The sequence below is a fragment of the Homo sapiens genome, chromosome 1 (assembly GCF_000001405.40).
Source record: "Homo sapiens chromosome 1, GRCh38.p14 Primary Assembly".
In the NCBI taxonomy this organism is placed as follows: domain Eukaryota; kingdom Metazoa; phylum Chordata; class Mammalia; order Primates; family Hominidae; genus Homo; species Homo sapiens.
In genome coordinates, this window is record NC_000001.11 from 161,839,833 (window position 1) to 161,861,583 (window position 21,751).

The following is a 21,751-nucleotide window of genomic DNA, read 5'->3' on the forward strand; positions in this document are numbered from 1 at the left end:
GTTCAAGGAAAAACAAGGTGGCTTTGCTAAAGAGAGAGTAGTAGGAGATGATGTCAGAGAGGTGAGATACAGGGAGAGGTCAATTGAGGTAAGACTTCTGTCGTTTTAAAGATTTGGGCTTTTACCATGATAGAAATGGGAAGCCATCAGAAGGTTTTGAGCAGAGGTGACATAATAATCTGACCTAGATTTTAAAAGGATCACTTTAGTTACTATGTTGCCACTAGCCTGAACCTGGTAGGCAGGAAGACAAGTGTCCTGCTCTGTGTCATCTTTGGGCTTTATAAACCATGTTCCATCTGTTGTCTCATTTGAATCTCAGGAAAACCTTGTGAAATATTTGTTATTTTTCATGTTTTACATGTGAGGAATTGGAGGCTTAGAGAAGTTGACCAAGTATCCCAGACATACTCAAGTGAGCAGTCTCAGAGTAACATCTTGAACCCAGATCTCCTGTCTCCAAATTTTGTGCTCATTCCACTATTTCACATTAAAACCTGAAGATCTCCCTGCTCTTTTCATCTTAACGTAATTTCAGCTTTTTGTGTGTGGCTCTCCAAGCCACAGAGCAGCAGCAGCTTTTGAGGATAAGAAGCAGTTTCTTTTAAGGATAAGAAGCAGTATGGTTCTTACCTGGTAAGATGGCTTGAATTCAAAATTGACCTACTTGTACCATAAGAAAGCAGGTTTGCAAGGAGTAGAATAGACTTGGAGATATGCCATTTTTTGTTCAGCTACTTGGTATGAAGACTGAGTATCTGAAACCACACTGTAAGGATTAAGTGGCTTCATAAATAATCTAAAACAGTTGTTGGCTTTTAGAATTTAATAAATGAAAAAGTAAGGTAACAATTCTTATAATACTTTTTCCAGACTTTCGGGGAAATTGAAATCATTTGTGTTTTATTAATCCATGCTTTTCAGGACCAATGGCCCATAATGTGAGCAAGGTTTATTGGTGTAATGATTATTTTGTGGCCTAAAACTACTGTGACTCTTTGGACTAGCATGTTTCTGATCATAGAGACAGCTAGAGACTTCTTCTTTTTTCTTAATATTTGTAGCTTGTTTTAAACGTACTGAGTAGAACCTGATTTAAGCAATTATACAAAGTTTGGTTAGATTGCTTTATTAATATTATGAACTAGAAACAGTCACCAAATGCGCATTCATTATACTAATCCTTACTATGATTGAGTCATTTCTTTGAGTTCTTGGAAATCTAATTTTTCTAAAATTAACAAAAGGGGACATTTGAATGATGCAAAAGCACTCATGGCAAGAATCTAAAAGTTCATATAAATAATAATTTTCTCATACTCTTTTATACATTTGACCATTACAAGATCTGTCAAATTCCTTTCAATATTTGTGATGTCACAGTCGTACTAAAACAATCTTGAATTCTGGCAGCGAAATGAAGTTCTTACCTGTCTTTCAGATGTTAATAAAAATAAGGGAAATACAAACCTGTAGTTATTCAGATGGTTAAAATTAGTTTCTGTGGGTCATTTCATAGAGTTCAAGTATTTAAATGTTTTTTTAGCTGAATTGGACAATCAACTTGTCTGTAATTTAGCTTAAGAGAAATTCCATTTTAAGACAAAAAAACTACAGGGAATGTAGGCCAAAAAATAATAACAACCAAAAACAAACAAGTGAAAAACGTTAAAAGATTCTTAGCAGAATTTATTAATATATTACCTCTTCAAAATATATTCTAGCCAATGGATAGATAATAAAATTGAGACCCACAGACTATTTGGATCCTAAATTTTGTTTCATCATGACTCCCTTGTTGAAAATACTTTATTGACTCTGTGTAATGTAAATAAGATAATTTTTGTGAAGCTCATTGAATGCGTCTGAGCTCCTTAACTCAAAAAAGGCTAAAAGTTACTGAAATAGCTATGGTTAAGGGTATATTGTCATTACAATGTGATAATCATTACCAAAGTGGGCACTTGGAAAAATAGTGACCACTTATGAGCCAAACCAATCAACATTAAAACTGATTTCCAGTAAGTACAGCTGCCAAGTGATTATAGAGCAGCCTGGATACAGATGGGATAGACTACAAGGATAGTTAAGCTCAAAGCATTTGCCTGTTAACAGCCATGAATTGTGAGGTGAAATGCCAGTTTACATAGTGTTAGTAAAATCATTAAAAGAACAATGATTAGTAGAAGAATTCTTTACAAACCTTAAAGTATCAATAGTTCTGAATTAATTCAATTTATAAATTATCCATAAGTCATACAAATAGCCACTTTGTACTTTTTCATGTCCCTCCAAACTCCCCCAGTCCCTATTTCCAAACTGTCCACTTCTGTTGAATCTATTGTAAAAATGTGTACCTTTTAGGGAACTGAGATAGGAAAGATGTGAAAAACAGGATTAGTTTAGAATAATGGTTCTCAAACATTGGTAAAGTCACCTAGACTAGTACAACCACTGCGGAAAACAGTGTGGAGATTCCTTAAAGAACTAAAAGTAGAACTACCATTTGATCCAGCAATTCCACTACTGGGTTTCTACCCAGAGGAAAAGAGGTCGTTAAACAAAAAAGATATTTGCTCATGCATATTTATAGCAGCAAAATTTGCAATTGCAAAAATGTGGAACCAACCCAAATGCCCATCAATCAACAAGTGGATAAAGAAACTGTGGTATATATATATGATGGAATACTACTCAGTCATAAAAAGGAATGAATTAATAGCATTCGCAGCAACCTGGATGGGATTGGAGACTATTCTAAGTGAAGTAACTCAGGAATGGAAAACCAAACAGCGTTATATTCTCACTCATAAGTGGGAGCTAAGCTTGGGATATAGGTGCACCAAAATATCACAGATCACCACTAAACAACGTACTCATCTCACCAAATGCCACCTGTTCCCCAAAAACCTATGGAAATAAAAAATTTTAAAAAAAGATAATTATTAATCCAGTTTTTGGTGAATCAGTGAGTGACAGTGGTTATAGTAGTGGTGGTTTAAATCAAGGAATAAATGTTTTCAAAGTGAAAGGAGCACATCCTACCACACAGTTCAAAAACAATCACAAATATGGCAGGCTTGCTGAGAGCTTTCATACATCATTTATTGTCATGCACTTGTATGATTATTGTATACTGTACACATTTTTATTTTACAATGATTTGTATTTTCCAATGCGTTTATTGCAGTTCAGTGTGGTAGATGGCTGGAGCCTATCCTGGTAGCTCGGCGCACAAGTCAAGAATTAACCCTGGACAGGGTGCCATCCCTTTGAAGGGTGCACTCACGCATGTTCCGCACACTCATTCAGACTGGAGCCATTTAGACGTGCCAGTTAACTTAACATGCACATCTTTGAGATGTGGGAGGAAACTGGAGTACCCACAGGAAACTCATGCAGACTTGGGGAGAGTATGCAAACTCCACACAGACAGTGACCTTGGCTGGGAATTGACTTTTTTTTTGTCATCAGTGTTATCACAAAATGACATTGCATGAACCAGCATTGTTTGAAGACTTGCTGTATTCTGATTTTTTTTATCTTTCATCTTTGAGTCATTAGCACCAAATATAGTTCTTGGAACATAATAGGTATTTACTACATGAATAAATTAATGGATGAATCATTCATTCTGGGAAATGTTGTCAACATAGTGCAGTGATGGAATTCCAATCCTGAATCCAAATCCTGACTTTCTTAGTTATTTAGAGCATAAACTTGGGCAAACTGTTTAAACTCTTTGAGCTTCAACTTCCTTTGAGCCTTCATTTCCTTAGTACATAGTAGGTACTCAAAAGTGGTAGCTACTGTTAAAATATACTGTATTTGCATCTTAGAAGAGCATTTAACATTCTTGTGATATCTTTATGGTCAAGATGGGAAATTTTGACCTAGGTGGTATTTCAGTTAATTCATAAGTAGATAAACCTACGTTTTTACAGATTTAGAAGGAGCTTTTTATTTTAATAACAACTCAGTACAGGATATTGATGGCATGCTGATACTTTCTTGGAAGAATTTCTTTTGCTAATGAGGAGCCTAAAAGTTCTTGATTGATTAGTAGGTAAGTGTTTTTAAAGGAATTGATATAAATTATTCAGCTGGATCCTAAAACTCAGTTACACAAATTCAGAGTTGAGGTGGGATAGGAAGAGAAGCAAAAGTAATGGTTCAAAATCGATTTGTGTGAAAGGACTTAGGGTTTTAATTACACTGGGCTCAATATAAATAGAGTGTAATATAACTGCCAGGAAAGCCTATGCGATATTAGACTGCATCAGTAGAACAACAGTGTCTAGAACAAATGGAGGAATTATCCTTTTCCATTCTGTAGTGGTCATACTACCTAAGAAGTACTGTGGCCAATTCTGGACATTACCTCTGAGAAGCATGTTTATAGGACAGTGATCAAATATGCTAAAGGAACTTCAGACTATGCTGTAAAGAGGAGCATGTGAAAGAATCAAGAAACTATAATCTTGAAAAAGAAAGCCTGGGGTAAGGGGGATGTTAGATGTCTTTGGACATTAGAAGAAGGCTTACTTAGACTTGTTCTGGATAGCCACAGAATCCAGAACTAGTATCAAAAGGTGGAAGTTTTTTTGTTTTTTGTTTTTTAAAAAGGAAGCACATTTCTAGTTAAAACAAGGGGAAACTCTTAATAATTAGGGTGGTAGAGATACTGGAGGGATCAGGGAGTGAGTACTTCCACCAAACAGGAACATTAGTATATGGATATTTCACTAATAACAATAGCGGGGTCAGTAGGGGTTGAATTAATTGAGATTCTCTAAACTTAGGGGAAAGTTCTTAACTTTGATTTTATTCATAGCTTACTTTCATAATTAGAATTTTTGGCACCATGCTTGAAAGAAAAAGTAAACACTTTTTTTTTAAAGTTAGTTTCCTAAAGAAGAAATAAAATTTCTTAGTTGTCATCACACTCTTCATTTGACTTCCCTCCCAAATTGCTATTGTTTTCTGCTTCTCTCATGTTTTCTTAAATACTCATCAGGGTGACTTTTCTTAAGTTTAGACAGACATTCCACTAGGTCTCTTACCTCATTTGTGGCAAGGTTTATATTGATGTGTGACTGCTCAGGTAAACCTTTAGTCTGAATGATACAGCTATGACAAAATATAGCCTCAGTTGTAGCAAAATTAAATGTTACACAATGGCTTTAATTGGTGGTACACCTTTGAAGAGTTTGCAGTATGCCCAAGTGCTAAAGCATACCATGTGAGAATCACTGGGTAGCAATGATTTCTGGGGGTGAAGAATTGAGGAGAATGGAAAATATATTAAGGGATCAGAAAAATATTCTAGAGAGGTGTGTCTGCTCCCCGTTTTCCCCCAACACTGATTTCCCCAAATTTGGAGACAAACTACTATTATCTCAAAGAACCGCTTTTCCTTTAGAACCACAGGCTCCTTAACTACCCTTTTTCATTAGCCTTACTTTCCTCTTGCATTTTATCCCTCCAAATAGAATCTTTTGTGCTTCTCTAGGGAGATTCCCTTTGTGTTGAATTTTATGAGTAGTGTAAATTGTGTGGGTTGCATCATAAAACAAAGTGCGAACACACACACAAAGTCTTATTGATGAGCCAAGTTCCTAAGCACTATTAATGAGTTAAAAGTGTTAATTAAGGCTGGGCGCAGTGGCTTACATCTGTAATCCCAGCACTTTGGGAGGCCAAGGTGGGAGGATAGCTTTAGCTCAGGAGTTTGAGACTAGTCTGGGCAACATAGTGAGACCTCATTTCTACTAAAATTAAAAAAAATAAAAATTAGCCAGATGTGGTGGCACATGCCTATAGTCTCAGCTACTCAGAGGGGCTGAGGTGGGAGGATTGCTTGAGTCCAGGAGGTCAAGGCTTCAGTGAGCTGTGATTGTGCCACTGCACTCCAGCCTGGGTGACAGAGTGAGACCCTGTCTCAAAAAAAAAAAAAAAAAAAAGTTAAGTAGGCAGTATTTGCTTATATGTATATATTTTGTTGTTTTCTCCAAATGCTTATGCCTCTGAAGAGGATATACATTGATGAGTGAAGATATTAGGGAGGGTAGGGAGAAAGAATAGAAGTTTTTACATATAAATACAAATAGAAGTATTTAAAAAATTTTTTTTTCTTAGCTTTATCTGATAGCCTGCCTTCTGGAATTGTGAAAGGCTAACAATGAATTTGACTTTTATTCCTACTTCATTTGAAGTATTCTCTCATTGAAAACACCAGTTTGCACCATCCAGGAGGCCTTCTTATTTCAGTTATTATTGGAGTTTAAAATTTGTTTTTAGGTGTGTCGTATTTATTTCTACTTCATATATACATGTAATTATCAAGTTTTTAAAACATATAGAACACTACTATTGTTTAAACAGTTTATAAATAAGGTACTTTTATACTTAGAAAAATTGTTTTTGATATGTGCAGGTTACCATGCTAAGGATTTGAACACCTTCAGTACCCTATTTGTACTTGCGTCTATGCCTAGCATTTTTGTTACGTGCATGGATCTGCAAAGGAATTGTGGTTTGTTTCACAGCTGCATGTAGCAGGCATATGTGTGACATATTTTTATTTCAGCTATTATTTCCTGTTTTTTATTTTCAGCATGTTGGAACAGGATTCCAGGAGAATGAACCCTAGTGTGAGCCCTGCAAATCAAAGGAGGCACCTTCTAGGATTTTCTGCTAAAGAGGCACAGGACACATCAGATGGTATTATCCAGAAAAACAGCTACAGGTAAGATGGCATGCATCTATCTTTTGGCCTAAGTGATTTAATGAAGCTGAAACAAGAGAATTATCTGTAGTATAACATTGCATCTAAATTGTTCGTGTATATTTTGAGTAGTAGAACACATAAATTACTGAAACCATTAATACATTTTACTTTTAATATTGTAAAATTAAATTTACTTTGAAACCTTTTGTAGTTTTAAAATTCCTATAGAGATGTAATCTTAAAATCTCAGTTTGTGTGCATTAATATACATATTGAAATATATACATATTATATATAATGTCTTTAATAATTATTTTATCTATCATGTGTTTATACATATAATACATCTAATATTTGTTACTGTCTCACCTGTGGATGGATATGATATGGTGGAATAACATGATTGAACCTATTTGCAGTCATTAGGTAAAATCATTTATACTCATTTATTGTGATCTTTGTTGAATCCCTCCCTTGTTGCAATTTAATAATGACTTGATAAATTTCCATATTGCTTGTCAATAGCAAAAGGCTTTAATTGTATAAAAATGCAATTTCTATATTATGTTAACTAGAAGAAGGTATAGTGGACATTTTTATAGTTGTATACTTTTTGATAAACATTTCCCTGTGTTATTTAGAATTTGTATTAGAGCCAAATGGAGCCAGGTCCTTGACTAACAAGGCAAAGGGAGGTCACAGTATGGTAACTATTGCACAGTATAATGCTTGAAAATTATTACAGATTTGTTTACTTTTATCTCTTTAAGGATTTGTAGGTTGAGGGCAATCTTTCTTCCTGATTTTTACTGTGTTACATCCATACTGTTGAAAGATGATCACCACAATCCTGCAGGCTTGTCTCCACTTAGCCTTCCTGAAAAAACTGTTATTTTTGTGGAGTACAGTATGCCAAGTCAGTGGAGGACCCAAAGGATTTTATGGCAGTAGCTGCAACGCAACATAGCAATGATAGATGTCATAATGTTGGAAAACATAGCATTTCCTGCTTTTTTACATGCCAAAATTCATCATACTTCTTAAAATATTCACCTTGATGATCTCTTAACGGTGCCCCTGAATATTGGTAGAGTTTAATAGTATATTTAATTTTCATAAGTAATTTGTGCAGGTTTGCCCTACGTGTTCTATAATTTTGAATTCTGTTAGTGTCCACATAAGATCCATCAAAAATTAAATTTAAATCTAATAGCCTTTGGATTTACGAGAGTTGAGATAGCGTCTTGCTAAAGAATAGAACAAGTTATGGATTGAATGCTTGAAATTACAGTTCAGGTAAGCTTTACAAGAATATTATTTATTCTGCACTAACTGCAGCAAGTAGAAGCCTTCCACATTAGCATAAGATAACATGGTGGCTCCCAGAAAGCATAGTAGTCTGATCATACTAGTTCAAACTAAAAGTCTGAATGACTTTCTGGCTGAAATTTATCAGCTTTCAGAGTAGTACATGGGATGCAAGCTATTTTTTCCCTCCCTTCTCCAAAGTCACCATTGAGTGAATAATCTGGGTTACTGGTCTTGGGGAAAAAAAAAAACCAAAAAACAACCCAGGAAAGATTATGGATTCTTGATTCCATGCAAGTCCTTTGAAATATTTTTCAGCAACTTGAGAGATTTAAATAAATGTCAGTCCATTAATTTGATGTTCTTGATTTTATCAGTATAAATACTGAATAAAAGATACCAAAAAATGTTTGTGAAACATTTGAAAGCACCTAATATTACTTTGTTCTGTGTTCTGAACTGAATTTTAGATGTTTTATCTATTTTCAGCCGTGATACCTATACATTTTTTTTAATGCAGCTTACTTTATGTTTCTTTTTCTAAGGAGAGCTATGAGACATGGTTCAAATAAAAAATGAGTAGATTCTAATCCCATAGTTTATAATATTGTATTAGCCTATCATTTAGTAATTAACTGCTTATATTTTTTCAGTCATAGAAATGTGTGGCATATAAATAGTATGACCATATAATGTTCTATCAAACTGGGACACTCTTAAGAAGGAAAGGTAGTGCTAGTAATAATTACATCAGAATACCAGTACTGCTGTCTTGGATAAATGAGAAAGGATGGTCACCCTATATAAGATGTCACCCAGAACTGATCTTTACTCCAAGAATTCTCATTAACTCTAGCTCCCTAGCACTGTCCTTTACTTTATTTACTTTAATGATTTATTTGTTGAATTTTTTTCTCTTGGCATAAAATGTTTGCAAGCAGACTCGAACTCTGACTGTTCCTGGGCTAATGTTGGTCTAATTGTCTCCAGATTGTATGTTGGCTGATTTTCTCTCTCCTTTAACTCCACCCAATCCTTGTCCTGGTATTTCTCCTATCAGACTTTTTTTTTTTTTTTCCAAAGAATATTTTTGGCTGATAGAACAAAGCCAGTTAGCACAGATGTGCAGAAATCATTACTAGAGTTCAGATCACAAATATATTTTCAAAAGCAGTTTTGGACTTTTCTCATGGACTACAGTGTTTGTATTTTTCTAAGTATGCAGGCATGATTTTTAAAATAATGCGTATGTCATAGATTTATAAGAAGAGGTGTTAAGCAGCCTCCTCTTAGAGGCATTCAGATTTATCAAACACAAGACAGATACTTTTTTTCCTTCTCACTCAATGCTTCATTTTAGGCTGATCCTTTTGTGTTTGCATTCATTACCTGTGCACCAACATGTCTGTTTTATTCCAAACAACTTAAACCTACTTAACCCTTACAGCCACAAGAGAGGACATTGAGAATATTCCTGGTGCAAGTTGCAGGGAAGAATGTTCTATATATCCTCTGCTATTGTTTCTTTTCTCTCGTGTGTGGCATAAATAGCTATCTCTAACTTTTAACTTGAAGTTAGCCTTCCACTCTGCCAGAGTTATTTCTGTTAAGGGGCCAGTGCTTTCTGCCATCTTACTTGCCCTTTCCTCAGCATTTGGCTGTGTGGGTCATTTGCTCCTTGAAAGACTTTCCTTTTGTGTTACTATGGTTTTTTAGTTTCCTTTTTTTATTGGCTGCTGCTTCACAGTAATCTTTGTGGGCTCTTTTTTTACCCAACTCTCAAGGTTTGGAACTGTAAACTTTTTTTATTTTCTTTCTGCCTAGGTGACTCATCTATAATTTCATGCACAGTTCATATCTATATGTCCTGATGACTCTCAAATTTATGTTTTCAGTCCAGACTTCTCTTCTGAGTCTCCAGAGTCACATATCCAATAGTCTCTTTGACATCTCTGTTTTAACATTTCAAACTTAACATGTGCACTGTGGAACTCAGTTCCTCTCCCTGTTTTACTTCCAACCAATTTTCTACAACTGTGTTTTTTCCTTTCCATTGCTTAAGCCAGAAATCCTGATTCCTGTCTTTCAACAAGTGTTGTTGATACTCTTCCCCAAAATTGTCTTGAATTGGTCCACTCCTCTCCGTCTCTGCTGCCACAAACCTAGTCCATGCCATCATCAGTTCTTGCCAGGATTGCCATAGCTCTTTCCTAATCAGTGTCTCAGCTTCCCCTTTTGCCTCCATTGAGTCCATTTTTGGTACCATGGCAAGGTATGAATGTAAATTGAAATATATCACTTCTTTATTTGAAACACTTTTATGACTTCTTATTACATTTAGTAATTCCTTATTATGACCTGGTCTTTTATTATGACCTTATTATGATTCCTTTCCAGCCTCATCCTGTTCCCTCTCTACCTCCCCACTTGCTTGCAACTCTTCAGCCAGTGGTCTTTTTAAAGTTCTTTGAGCCCACCTTTCCCCCACCTGCCTCTTTTATGCCTAGAATGCTCTTACCCCAGTTTCTATAGAGGCGGCGTCTTCTCATCATTTAGGCCTTGATGTAACTACCATCTCCTTCTCGGACCATTTTATCTAAAGTATATACTACCATTGCTTTTCCATTTCAACCATTTGTTTGTTTCTTTCATAGCACTTACTAGAGTTCGGATTATTTTATGCATTTATTTTCTTCTATTTGGTCCATCTTCCCCATTAAGGTCTTTGGGGACAGAAACTTTGATTCTCTCATTCCCTACTGGATTCTCAGCACCTAGCACAATACCTGGTGCACAGTTGGTATGCAGCAAGTATTTGTTGAATGAATAAATGAAAAGTGTGAGTCTCACTATGTTCAGTTTTATATGTTTACATGTTTTCTTTTGAGATATTAGCATATCTAGTTTTCTAAATCCAGATCATCCTATATAAAGAAATTCAAGAGAGATGCAAGCTTTGTTAGTGAGAGAGATTAAGATTGCAGACTGAAGAGCATAAATAACAGTAATATCCCCATCTCAAATTCTAACTTTCAACTCCAGTTTTGCTCCCTACGTCACACCTTGGATATGAATTCACATGATCTACATCAGTGCGATGGCTAGGAAAGTATATATTTTTGAAGCAAATGGAGTAACTAGTTAATGTCAGTCACTCTGTTGTTTTATTAGTGATTCACATTCTTCCATGATCCCATAGTTTATATTCGGCTTTTCAACTCTTTCACTTTTCTCCTGCCAAGCATTTTATGTCTCACCCTATCCTTAACATACACACACACACACACACACACACACACACCCCTACCTGTTTTACAGATACTATCCAGTTTTATCATAGAATTGTGTCTCACCCTATCCTTAACACACACACACACACACACACACACACACACACACACACACCCCTACCTGTTTTACAGATACTATCCAATTTTATTATCATAGAATTGTGAATGACCCCTAAACTTTAGTCTGGTCACATAATACCACTTGATTTTCGCCTCAATTACCCCGTTACTGTGTTACTACCTCTGTACCAGCAGCATTGTGCATGTCTTAAGCTCATTGAAGATATGATGAACCATGTGTTATTGTATCGCTTATTCCAAATTAATTGCTCAATAAATGGTGATTAGACAAATGTGAATTACCATCCTGTCTCTGTAGAAAATCAGAAAATGACATTTCATGTAAAATAAGGTTTTGTATTTTATACTTTATCTTGCAGTATATTCTGTTTACTATATTTTTGTTTCCATGAAAAGTTAACACTAATGATGATTTTCTTATAGCAAACTTCTTAGGAATTTAAGATACAAGGAAACAAATTTTGTGCATCCATGTTTCAGATATGATCATTCTGTTTCAAATGACAAAGCCCTGATGGTGCTAACTGAAGAACCATTGCTTTACATTCCTCCACCTCCTTGTCAGCCCCTAATTAACACAACAGAGTCTCTCAGGTGAGTGTTGTAGATTATTGCAGAAACATCTGAGTTGGTTCCCATGTTTAGTTTTGGAACCTAGACAAGTAATTGGTCAAGTTCACTAAGTGACTGAGAGAATCTCTGAATTATTTGTGGATAACTGTAGGCATATTAGTTGTCCAGTTTCTCCACCAACCTCATGGAGATGGTGATGGGTCTATTTTATGTGATAGTTGCTTACTTAAATATGTCTTCTTTAAAAACTACAGAATGAAATTAATATTAAAATTTCATGGTGTTAGGCTTACAGTTGGTAACATTCATAGCAGAAAGTACCTTTTTCTTCCAATTAGGAAGATAATAATTTGTGGGTATGTGATTCTGGAGATACTTTACCGTTAGTACACACTTCTTTATCAATTTTTCCCTTGAATTTTTTTTTCCTGTGATTTTGGACCTTACCCTTAAAACCTCAAAAACTACCTCAGATTTTTTGTGATATGTAGTAATCAACTACAGTTAAACATAGTTTAACATCTTCACAGCTGCTGTAAAAAGTAAGCAAAATAAGGGAAGTTATATATGAGCTATGCTTTTATTTCGTGTGTTGAAAAATTTGAATTTTTTTTTACCCCAGGCAATTGAGTTCATTCTTTTTCTTCTCCCAAAAGAGCATGATTTTCAAGAGGTTTTAATGCATCTATTTGTTGTTAGGGGTCCTATGACTTGTTAAGTTCTCTACAATGTGTCTCAAATGTTTGTGTTTATATAGCCCAAGAACAGAAATAGGAAATACTTTTTATTTTGTTTTGTTTTATTTTATTTTATTTTTAGACAGGGTCTTGCTCTGTTGCTCAGGCTGGTGTGCAGTGGCTGGATCATAGCTCACCGCTTCCCCAAACTCCCAGGCTCAAGTGATCCTCTTGCCTTCGCCTCCTGAGTAGCTGGGACTACAGGCACATGCCACCATGCCCAGTTAATTTTTTAAAAAAATTTTCTGTAGAGACAGGGTCTCACTGTGTTGCGCAGGCTGATCTCAAACTCCTGGGCTCAAGCAGTCTTCCCACCCCAGCCTCCCAAAGTGCTAGGATTACAGGTGTAAGCCACTGTGCCTGGCAAGGAAATACTTTTTTTGGTGGAAAAACCTTAGCATCCAGTGTTTATATTTGGGAGGTATTTAGCTGTAGTTTTCTTTGAAGTTTGAATGCATGGTTGACAGGTTTACCATGTAAAAATGCATGTCTTATTAAAAACAACGTTAAGTGTCAACTTTTTCAAATCAAAAAGCAATATTGAGTCATCAGGCACTTGGAATGCTCTTTGGAACCTACAAATGATTAGATTCATTTCCACCCACAGGGTGAAACATCCATTTCTATGTTTAATTAATTTCTATGTTTAATTAATTAAACTATATTTTATAGGTTAAATCATGAACTTCGAGGATGGGTTCATAGACATGAAGTAGAAAGGACCAAGTCAAGAAGAATGACAAATAATCAACAGAAAACCCGTATTCTTCAGGTATGTTTCTGTTTGTCTTTGAACAATAGTTGGCGTATTTGTTGGAAGGCTTCTCCCAGCTGGGTTACTCTCTTCCCTAGAAGGTTGGTAAACTTGAGCTTTAGCCTCTTCCCACTGTCTCCTGCTGCTTCCGATGCAGCTATCATTGCCACTGAAGTCCTCCTCCCAGGTTTTATAGCACTAGTTTAGGTTTTATAGTATTAGTAGTTCCCTGATCAGGCATCGTGCTATTTCTTGCTCTCACCTTCAAATTTGCTTTCAAGCCAGGAGTTCCTATGCATGGATATCTATATCAAATGTCTTTGTCACAATGGTATAATAAATAATACTGCTTATCTCCTCTTTTCTTAGAGCTTTTCAAAAAGAGAATGTTAAGACCTGGGGCAGTTTGGAAATGAAGACATCCATTTCTGAACTTAGACATTTACTACTATGGTTTAATGACAGGTCTTACTTAGAATCTGTTAAGTGGGGGTTCCATCTCAATGTTGTTTGCCACAAAACACCATTAAGTCATTCCGTCATTCATCAAATATTTGTTGTTAGAATTTAGACTAGCAACTGGCATCTGCAAGTTCCCAATAATGAGCCAAGGACTGTTCTTGATCCTGAAATAAAGTAATGGGTATGATAAAGTCCCTACCTTAATGGAGCTTACACTCTAGTGCAGAGCTAAACAATAAGCAAATAAATAAATACACAAATACACTGAAAATTAGAGCTAAGTTCTCTAAAGAAACACAAAGCAGCATAGGAGGTTAGAATTTGAATTGAGAAATGAGTGACTAGACTGAGTGGTCAGGGAAGGCTTCTCTGAAGAAGTTCCACTTTAAGACAACATTGTTAAGGTAATTAATGCTAGCTGTTATAACAGCCCCAAAATCTCAGTAGCTTAATGGAATAAAATTTTTTCACTTGCACAAAATTTGACTTCACTTTCTAGGATTGCTTTTCTCCAAGCAGGGAGTAAGGGATCCAGGTTCCTTCTATTGTGTAGCCCCAACAACTTGAAATTCTTTGCTTCTTGCTTGAGATGTTAGGGAAGAAAGAGTTTGGTGGATTGTGCAAAATGTTTTAAGAATCAGGCCTGGCTTTTAGCCAATGTTTAGTTGGCTAAAACTCTGTCACTTTGCCCAAACTACTGTTAGAAAGACTGGGATCATGTATCTTTCTGTGTGCTCGAGAAGAAGACAAGGGTTTGGTGAGAACATTGCTTTTGCCATAGGCAGAAAAGTCACTGAAATAACAATGTAAAGATTTAGGGGAGGCTGGGCGTGGTGGCTCACGCCTGTAATCCCAGCACTTTGGGAAGCTGAGGCTGGTGGATCACGAGGTCAGGAGATCAAGACCATCCTGGCTAACACAGTGAAACCCCATCTCTACTAAAAAATACAAAAAGTTAGCCAGGCGTGGTGGCGGGTGCCTGTAGTCCCAGCTACTTGGGAGGCTGAGGCAGGAGAATGGCATGAACTTGGGAGACGGAGCTTGGAGTGAGCCGAGATCACGCAGTCCAGCCTGGGTGACAAAGCGAGACTCCGTCTAAAAAAGAAAAAAAAAAAGATTTAGGGGAAAATCTGGAGAAAGAGCTTCCAGACAGAGGGAACAGCAAATGTAAAGACCCTCAGGAAGGAACATGAAGAAGCTGAGTACGACTGGAATGCAGGGGCTGAGGGGAGAGTGGTAGATGAGATTGGAGAGGCAGCAGATGTAGGCTCATAGCAAACTTCATAGGCTTTGATGAGAACTTTGGGTTTCATCATGGGTTTGAGGGGATGCCATTGAAAGGTTTGAGTAGGGGAGTGACTTGATATGATTTATATTTTAAAAAATTAGTAGTTGCTACATAAAGTGGACCATGGTGGGGAGTATGACTGGAAGTAGGGAGACAAGAAGCCATTTTAGTGGGCTAGGTGAGAGAAATTGTTGTGGTCCATACTGGTGTGGTAGTCGTGAAGGTGGCAGAAAGTACCTGGATGCCAAATATATTTTGAAAGTAAAGCTGATGGAAATTGTTGATATAATGATAAATCCTATGCTTAGGTACTGGATGATTGGTGATACCATTTACTGAGACCAGTACTGGGGAAGGAGCAGTTAGAGGTGGAAGTCAAGAATTTTAAGTATGTTAAGTTTGTTATGGCTATTAGGCATTCAAGTGGAGAAGTCAAGTGGACAATCAAATATCTGGGTCTGGAGTTTAGGAGAGAGGTTGAAACTGGAAGTTTAATTTGTGGTGCTACTAGCTAGAGAGAAATAAAGAGGAAAGAAAACAGAGTGAGGTACCAAGTTCTGGGCCATCTCCAACATTACAGGTTGAAAGAGAAAGAGGAACCAGTACTTGAAAAGGAAGAAGAGTAGCTGGCCAGTAAAATAGGAGAAATTGTAGGGATAGTGGTGTCCCAAAATTCAAGCAAAGAAAGTTTTTAAAGAAGGGGATGTAACAGTTAATTACAGGGGCTAAGAGAGCTAAGAGATGCTGATTCAGATAAAGAGTGAGAAATTACTTTTGGAATTGACCATCAGAACTTGTTAGTGACCTTCGTGAAAGTTCTTTCATTGGAGTGGTGATGGCAAAAGCCAACTGAAGTGGATTCAGGGAAGTAATAATAGAGGGGGAAGTGAAGAAAATTATTTCAGGGTGATCCCTATACATGGGAATAGAGAAATGGAGTAGCTACAGGAGTCAAGAAAGAGTTTTATTTTTGGATGGGAAATATTTCACCAGGTTTACATGTTTACATGCTAATGGAAACATCTTAAACTATTTAATTATTTCCTGACTAATTGGAAGCAGTATGTGTTATGTTCTAAAGTACATTAAAAGGATAACAAGAAACATGGGTTTTTAACCATTATGGAACTGTTTTCATACATAAAATGAGGGCTAGTCTAGGTGAGCTCAAACTCTGACATTCTGAAATTCTGTAATTATCTACTGTGTGCTTCTCTTGGCCTCTCCAACTTTTTTCACCTACTATAGTAGGCAACTTTATTGGTTGTTAATACTAATAGAGGCTGCAGACAGTCATTAACAATGTCACATGTACCCCAAAGTCCCAAAGCTGCTTATTGGCATTGGTATGTGGAGCCTAGTACTTCAAAAATTCATGTCTGCCAAAGCCTACACGTCAGCTGCTACCATGGTCAGAGGAAAAATGGACCCTCTCTCCCTTCTGCTTTCCACATCTGAAGCAAGTGCATCTTATTGGCAGAATCTAAATTATATCCAGAGCTCTGGTGGCAAAATAGTTTGAGCGATATAGGTTTCAGGCTTCCATCCTTTGCTACACAGAGGAAGAGCACAGGAGTCAGGAATAGATCATTGCCAGTAGGTAATCCCACACAGCTAGTATAATTAACTTAATGAAAAATTAGATTAAAATTCTTGCCCTAAATGCTTTTTTTTTGGCCTTATCATTAGATGGAACTTGTCATGTTTTTCTTTCCTAGTCATTAAATGAATAGAGCATTTACTGTGGAAGGGGTGCTTGGTATTCTTTATTCTTAAAGGAATTCCAATGCAAGAAAAAGAATTTTGTTTTAATTTTACTGTCTTTGTTCATTTGGAGATGTGTAGTTTAAAGTCTTATTTCATTCTGTGCTATTTTGGGTACACTTCTTTCTGTAGGGAGCTTAGATATGCTCAGAAATGTGAGAATCTTAGCTACTATAGAAGGGAATGATGGGGAAGAATCTGTATTTGTCAGTAGTATTTGTCAGTAGTAAAGAAGTTCCTGGTTAGAGGAAGGAGAAGAATTATTCTGCTTTTATGCTGTTGTCAATGCCAAAGCATATCAAGATTTTAAAAAAATTCTGTTTCTTGGTGTAAAGAGCCTGTAACTGCTCTCCTTTTTCTTTTCTCATTTCAACCTTTTTTTCTTCCGGTTACCTCTTTCAGTTGCTAAGAGTATCCCAAACTCTTATAAAATATTCTGTAATTTTAGTGAACTGACATTTCTTTGAAATATCTGTTGTATTTAAGCATTATGTCTTATAAAATATTCTGTAATTTTAGTGAACTGATTTCTTTGAAATATCTGTTGTATCTAAGCATTATGTCTTTGATTTGACTTGTCCTGTTTCATAGTTCTACCCTCTTCCTAGACTTTGAGTTTTTAGAGAAGGTAAAGGGGAAAATTAATGAAATATCTTTCAAAATGAAGGCAAAATAAGGACATTTTCACATAGAGAAAACCAAGGGAATTTGTCTCCAGAAGACCTGTGCTATAAGAAATGCTAAAGATATTTTTTAAAAGACTTGGGTAAATGATACCAGATAGAACCCCAGATTAGCAGGAAGGAAGAGCATCAGAATGGGCAAATATTTGGGTAAAAAGAACAGGACTTTTTAAAAAGAAACTATATTTATCTTATGTGTGTGTATTTAAATGTCTTTAAAAGACTATTGTCTTTTTAAAGCAATAATAATGGCAATTTATTATGGGGTTTACAGCTTATATAGAAGTAAAATATAAGACAATAAGAACACAAGGGGGGGAGGGATAAATGGAATAATACTCTTAATAAAATTTTTATGTTGTTCGAATAATATTTCAAGATTGACTGCAGTAACTGATATCAAAGTATAATCTCTAGAGCAACTACTAAAAGCTAACATAAAGAAGTACAGCTAGAGCCAGGCACGGTGGCTTGTGCCTATAATCTCAGCTACTAGGGAGGCTGTGGCAGGAAGATTGCTTGAGTCCAGGAGTTTGAGAAGCTGCGGTGAGCTGTGATCACATCATTGCTCTCCTGCCTGGGCAACAAAGCAAGACCCTGTGTCTTAAAAAGAAAAGAAAAAATATAGCTAAAAAGACAATGTAAGAAATAAAAATGGAATACTAAAAAATATGCAGTTCAGTGAAAAGAAGACAGGAAAAGAGAAACACATAAAGAACAAATAGAATAAATTAAAAATGCATACCAAGATGGTAGACTTAAATCCAACCATATTAGTAGTTAAATTCAGTGGGCTAAACACATCAATTAAAAGGAAGAAATTTTCAAACTAGATTTTTTTAAAAAGGAAAGATCCAACTATATATTGTTTATAAGAAATAACACTTTAAATATGAAGACACTGACAGATGGAAAATAAAGGTGAAAAAGGATGTATGCCATGCAAACATGAAGCATTAAAAAGCTGACATGGCTATATTAATCAGAAAAAGTAGACTTCCAAACAAAGATTATTCTAAGAGACAACAAAAGAAATTTTTTATTGATAAAAGGAGCATACAAGGAAGATAAAACAATTCTAAATGTCTAGGCCCCTAATAACAAAGCTTCAACGTACACAAAGCAAAAAGTGACAGAACTTGAGAAAAAGATCTACAGCATAACTGGAGATTTTAACATCCTCTCATTTCTGTGTAAATGCCTCTCACATTTTTGTCAATTATGATCTTTTGCTAAACCCATACAGCTGAAAATGCAAAAGCTCATGACTAGTTTTTCAGAGGTTCCTTAGTTAATTGGTATAAATCTTGGATAGGTAAACGGAATATCTGTTTTCTGTTTGCCTGATATCTCTGTAACTTGGCTTTTCCTAAGGCCTACCCATTGCTTTCTGAGACTAGGGAAATAAGTCTGGCTTCTTTCAAACTTCTTTGCTCATTTCATATGGGCCAAAGTAGCACTAATCATTTAAAATTCACCAGTTAATCTGTTCATTTTCAACCTTATATTTATCAACTAGCTATAATTTAGTTTTGGTTTTATTTACTACTTACTGGATAACTATGCCAGTAAGTATAGTATTTTATTATTTAACTGTGTTCTTCTTTTCATTTTATTGGTGATTTTTTTCATTTGTTGTTAAACAGAGCATTTATTGAACACCTACAATATACAAGACCCACATTAGATTTTTATAAAATGAGATCCTTGACTTGTTACAGAGCCAGAAGTGGGAACCCCTATATTCATCTCTGCATATTGGTTCCATCCACCAAACAAAATTGTTTCCTTTTCTTTTCTCCCTTAAACTTCTGTACATGCTTCTGTTTTAGCGCTTATCGCATTGTATTGTTTTCCTATATCTGTCTTCCCAGTTAAACTGCGAGCTTCTTAAAGGCAGAAGTCAAATATTTAATTTTGTAGCTTGGGCACATGTAGGTGCTTTGATTACTGAAAGATGGATATATGGACACAGTAATGAACAAATGATTAAAAAATTATTTAAACCATTGTTTGACAGGGTAAGATTACTTTCTAATGAAATAGAACTTGGTAATATGCCCTTGAAGTCTGATACCCTGACAAACCGCTTCTGAAAATCAGCTTACATAACTACCAGGGAGAATAAAAAGGCATAGTGCAAAGCAAATGCTGTGTGAAAGACAGGTTTCCAGTGTAGCATATGTGGGCCACTAATGGGTGTAGATTGAACTGTTCTCTTGCCAAGAGTCATCAATAAGAACTCTTTAATGATGGCTTAGTTCATAGATGTATTTTGGCATGAAGATCTCTGTGTTTAACTCAGTAAACAATAGGATCTAGTTTCATTATGGACTTTTCATACTTCTTAGGAACTTGTCATTGGGAAGATAATTATTTTAGACAAGCAGACATTGTTATATGTTCAGTAACACTTATATAGCTTGGTCATAAAATTTGTGGTGCTTGGACTAGCTTTTGGGCTCTTTCTTTAAACTTAATGGAAAGTGCCTTAAATGCCTTAATCTCCATAAGACACTTCTCCCAGACTAGAATGGACCTAAAGAGTTCTAATATCTGTCAGTGTTTAATTATTTGAACTGAATATGTCAGAAATCTTAGCAATGGAAGTTTAACAAATTTAAGTATAGAATGAACCAGTATAGGAAGATTTCATATAATTTTGTGATACAGTATTAAACTTTTTTTTTTTTTAATATTCCAGGGTGCTCTGGAACAGGGCTCAAATTCTCAGCTGATGGCTGTTCAATACACAGAAACCACTAGTAGTATCAGGTAAGACAGTGCAGAAGCTCTTGGCCAAGGAATTTAAAATAGCTGGTATTTTAAGAAAGTTGAAATTCACACTTCCCTTTCACCTTAAATTTGTTCTCATCTATGAGTTTTATATTAGTCATATACTCTAAGATATATATATATATGTATATATATATATAACATACTACTGAGCAGTTGGAATAAAGCCAGATAATTTCAAAAGTTCAACTCTCCCAAATCCCTTAAATACAAATTTAGTCAGAATGCTGTTCCATCATAATTTTGATGAAAATCTTGAATACCCATAGCTTTCTTGCCCTTGATTTGCATCTGTTTCATGAACCTAGGGAAGGGAATGTTATTTTTTGAGTGCTCTGTACCAGGTGTCCTGCTGAGTGTTTTACATGTATTTTATCTTTAAATCCATGTAATAACTAAAAGTTTATTTTATATATAGAAAAACTGGTCAAATCATTTATTTTTTTTGTAATTTTCAGAGTCATAAGACCTAGTGGTAGACTCAGAATTCAGATCATAGCTGTTTTACTTACAATGCATTTTTCACTACACAATAATACTTAAGATTTTGAAAGATTTCAAAGAGAATGCTGTATCTACAGGTTTAAATGTCTTCAAAGGGAAATATAATATGGGAAGCAATATGGTGTCATGGTTAAGATGCTAGCTTTATTTGCCCTGTTGGGCAGAGTTCAAATTATAACTCTACCTCTTACTTTGTGGGCTCAAGCAGATTACATGCAATTGAAGTTTTCTCATCTACAAAATGCTGGCTGCACAGAGTTGATATAATGGTTAAATTAGATAATATATTTAGAGCACTTAGCATGGTACATAAGTGCCCCCCAAAATGGTAAATGATAATGATGTGATGTCATTGACAACAGTATCACTGAAGTGAAATTTGAGGATCTCAGCTTCTATCTGTAGCTCTACCACACATTTGCAGTTCACTTATATGAATTTAACATTTACTTAGAATATACTGTGTGCCAGTGTTCTAGGCACTGAGAAAAAAATATAGATAGATAGATAGATAGTAAAAATGAAGTCAAAAGCTATTTTATTCATTATACTAATAACTGAGAATTCCTATTAAATGACAATGAGCAGCATATCAGCAATCATGAATGTTTAAAATCCTGAGATTGTATTATCCTGTTGAAATTGATAATTCAAATATGTTTAAATAATAACTAATCATTCTCTGCTAACCAGAATATATCATTCAATTACATTTATTTTAAAAATATATCAATTTTTGGATGCATGGTTATAATGGCATGGTATTTCTTCATTAGTTAAA

The 21,751-nt window shown here is 35.5% G+C and overlaps 1 protein-coding gene across 6 annotated transcripts in view; it reads left to right on the forward strand.

Annotated features, from left to right (window-relative positions):
- The window catches only part of ATF6 (activating transcription factor 6), a 197,751-nt gene that overhangs the window by 73,513 nt on the left and 102,487 nt on the right, over window positions 1-21,751 (forward strand). For 3 of the 6 annotated variants that reach the window (NM_001437597.1, XM_011509309.1, XM_011509310.3), the window contains exons 10-13: window positions 6,617-6,748; window positions 11,833-12,003; window positions 13,392-13,491; window positions 20,375-20,445. In NM_001437597.1, the coding sequence (NP_001424526.1) occupies window positions 6,617-6,748; window positions 11,833-12,003; window positions 13,392-13,491; window positions 20,375-20,445 (474 nt within the window). The remainder of the gene's footprint in view (window positions 1-6,616; window positions 6,749-11,832; window positions 12,004-13,391; window positions 13,492-20,374; window positions 20,446-21,751) is intronic. The other 3 variants (NM_007348.4, NM_001410890.1, XM_047449542.1) reach the window with 1 other exon arrangement.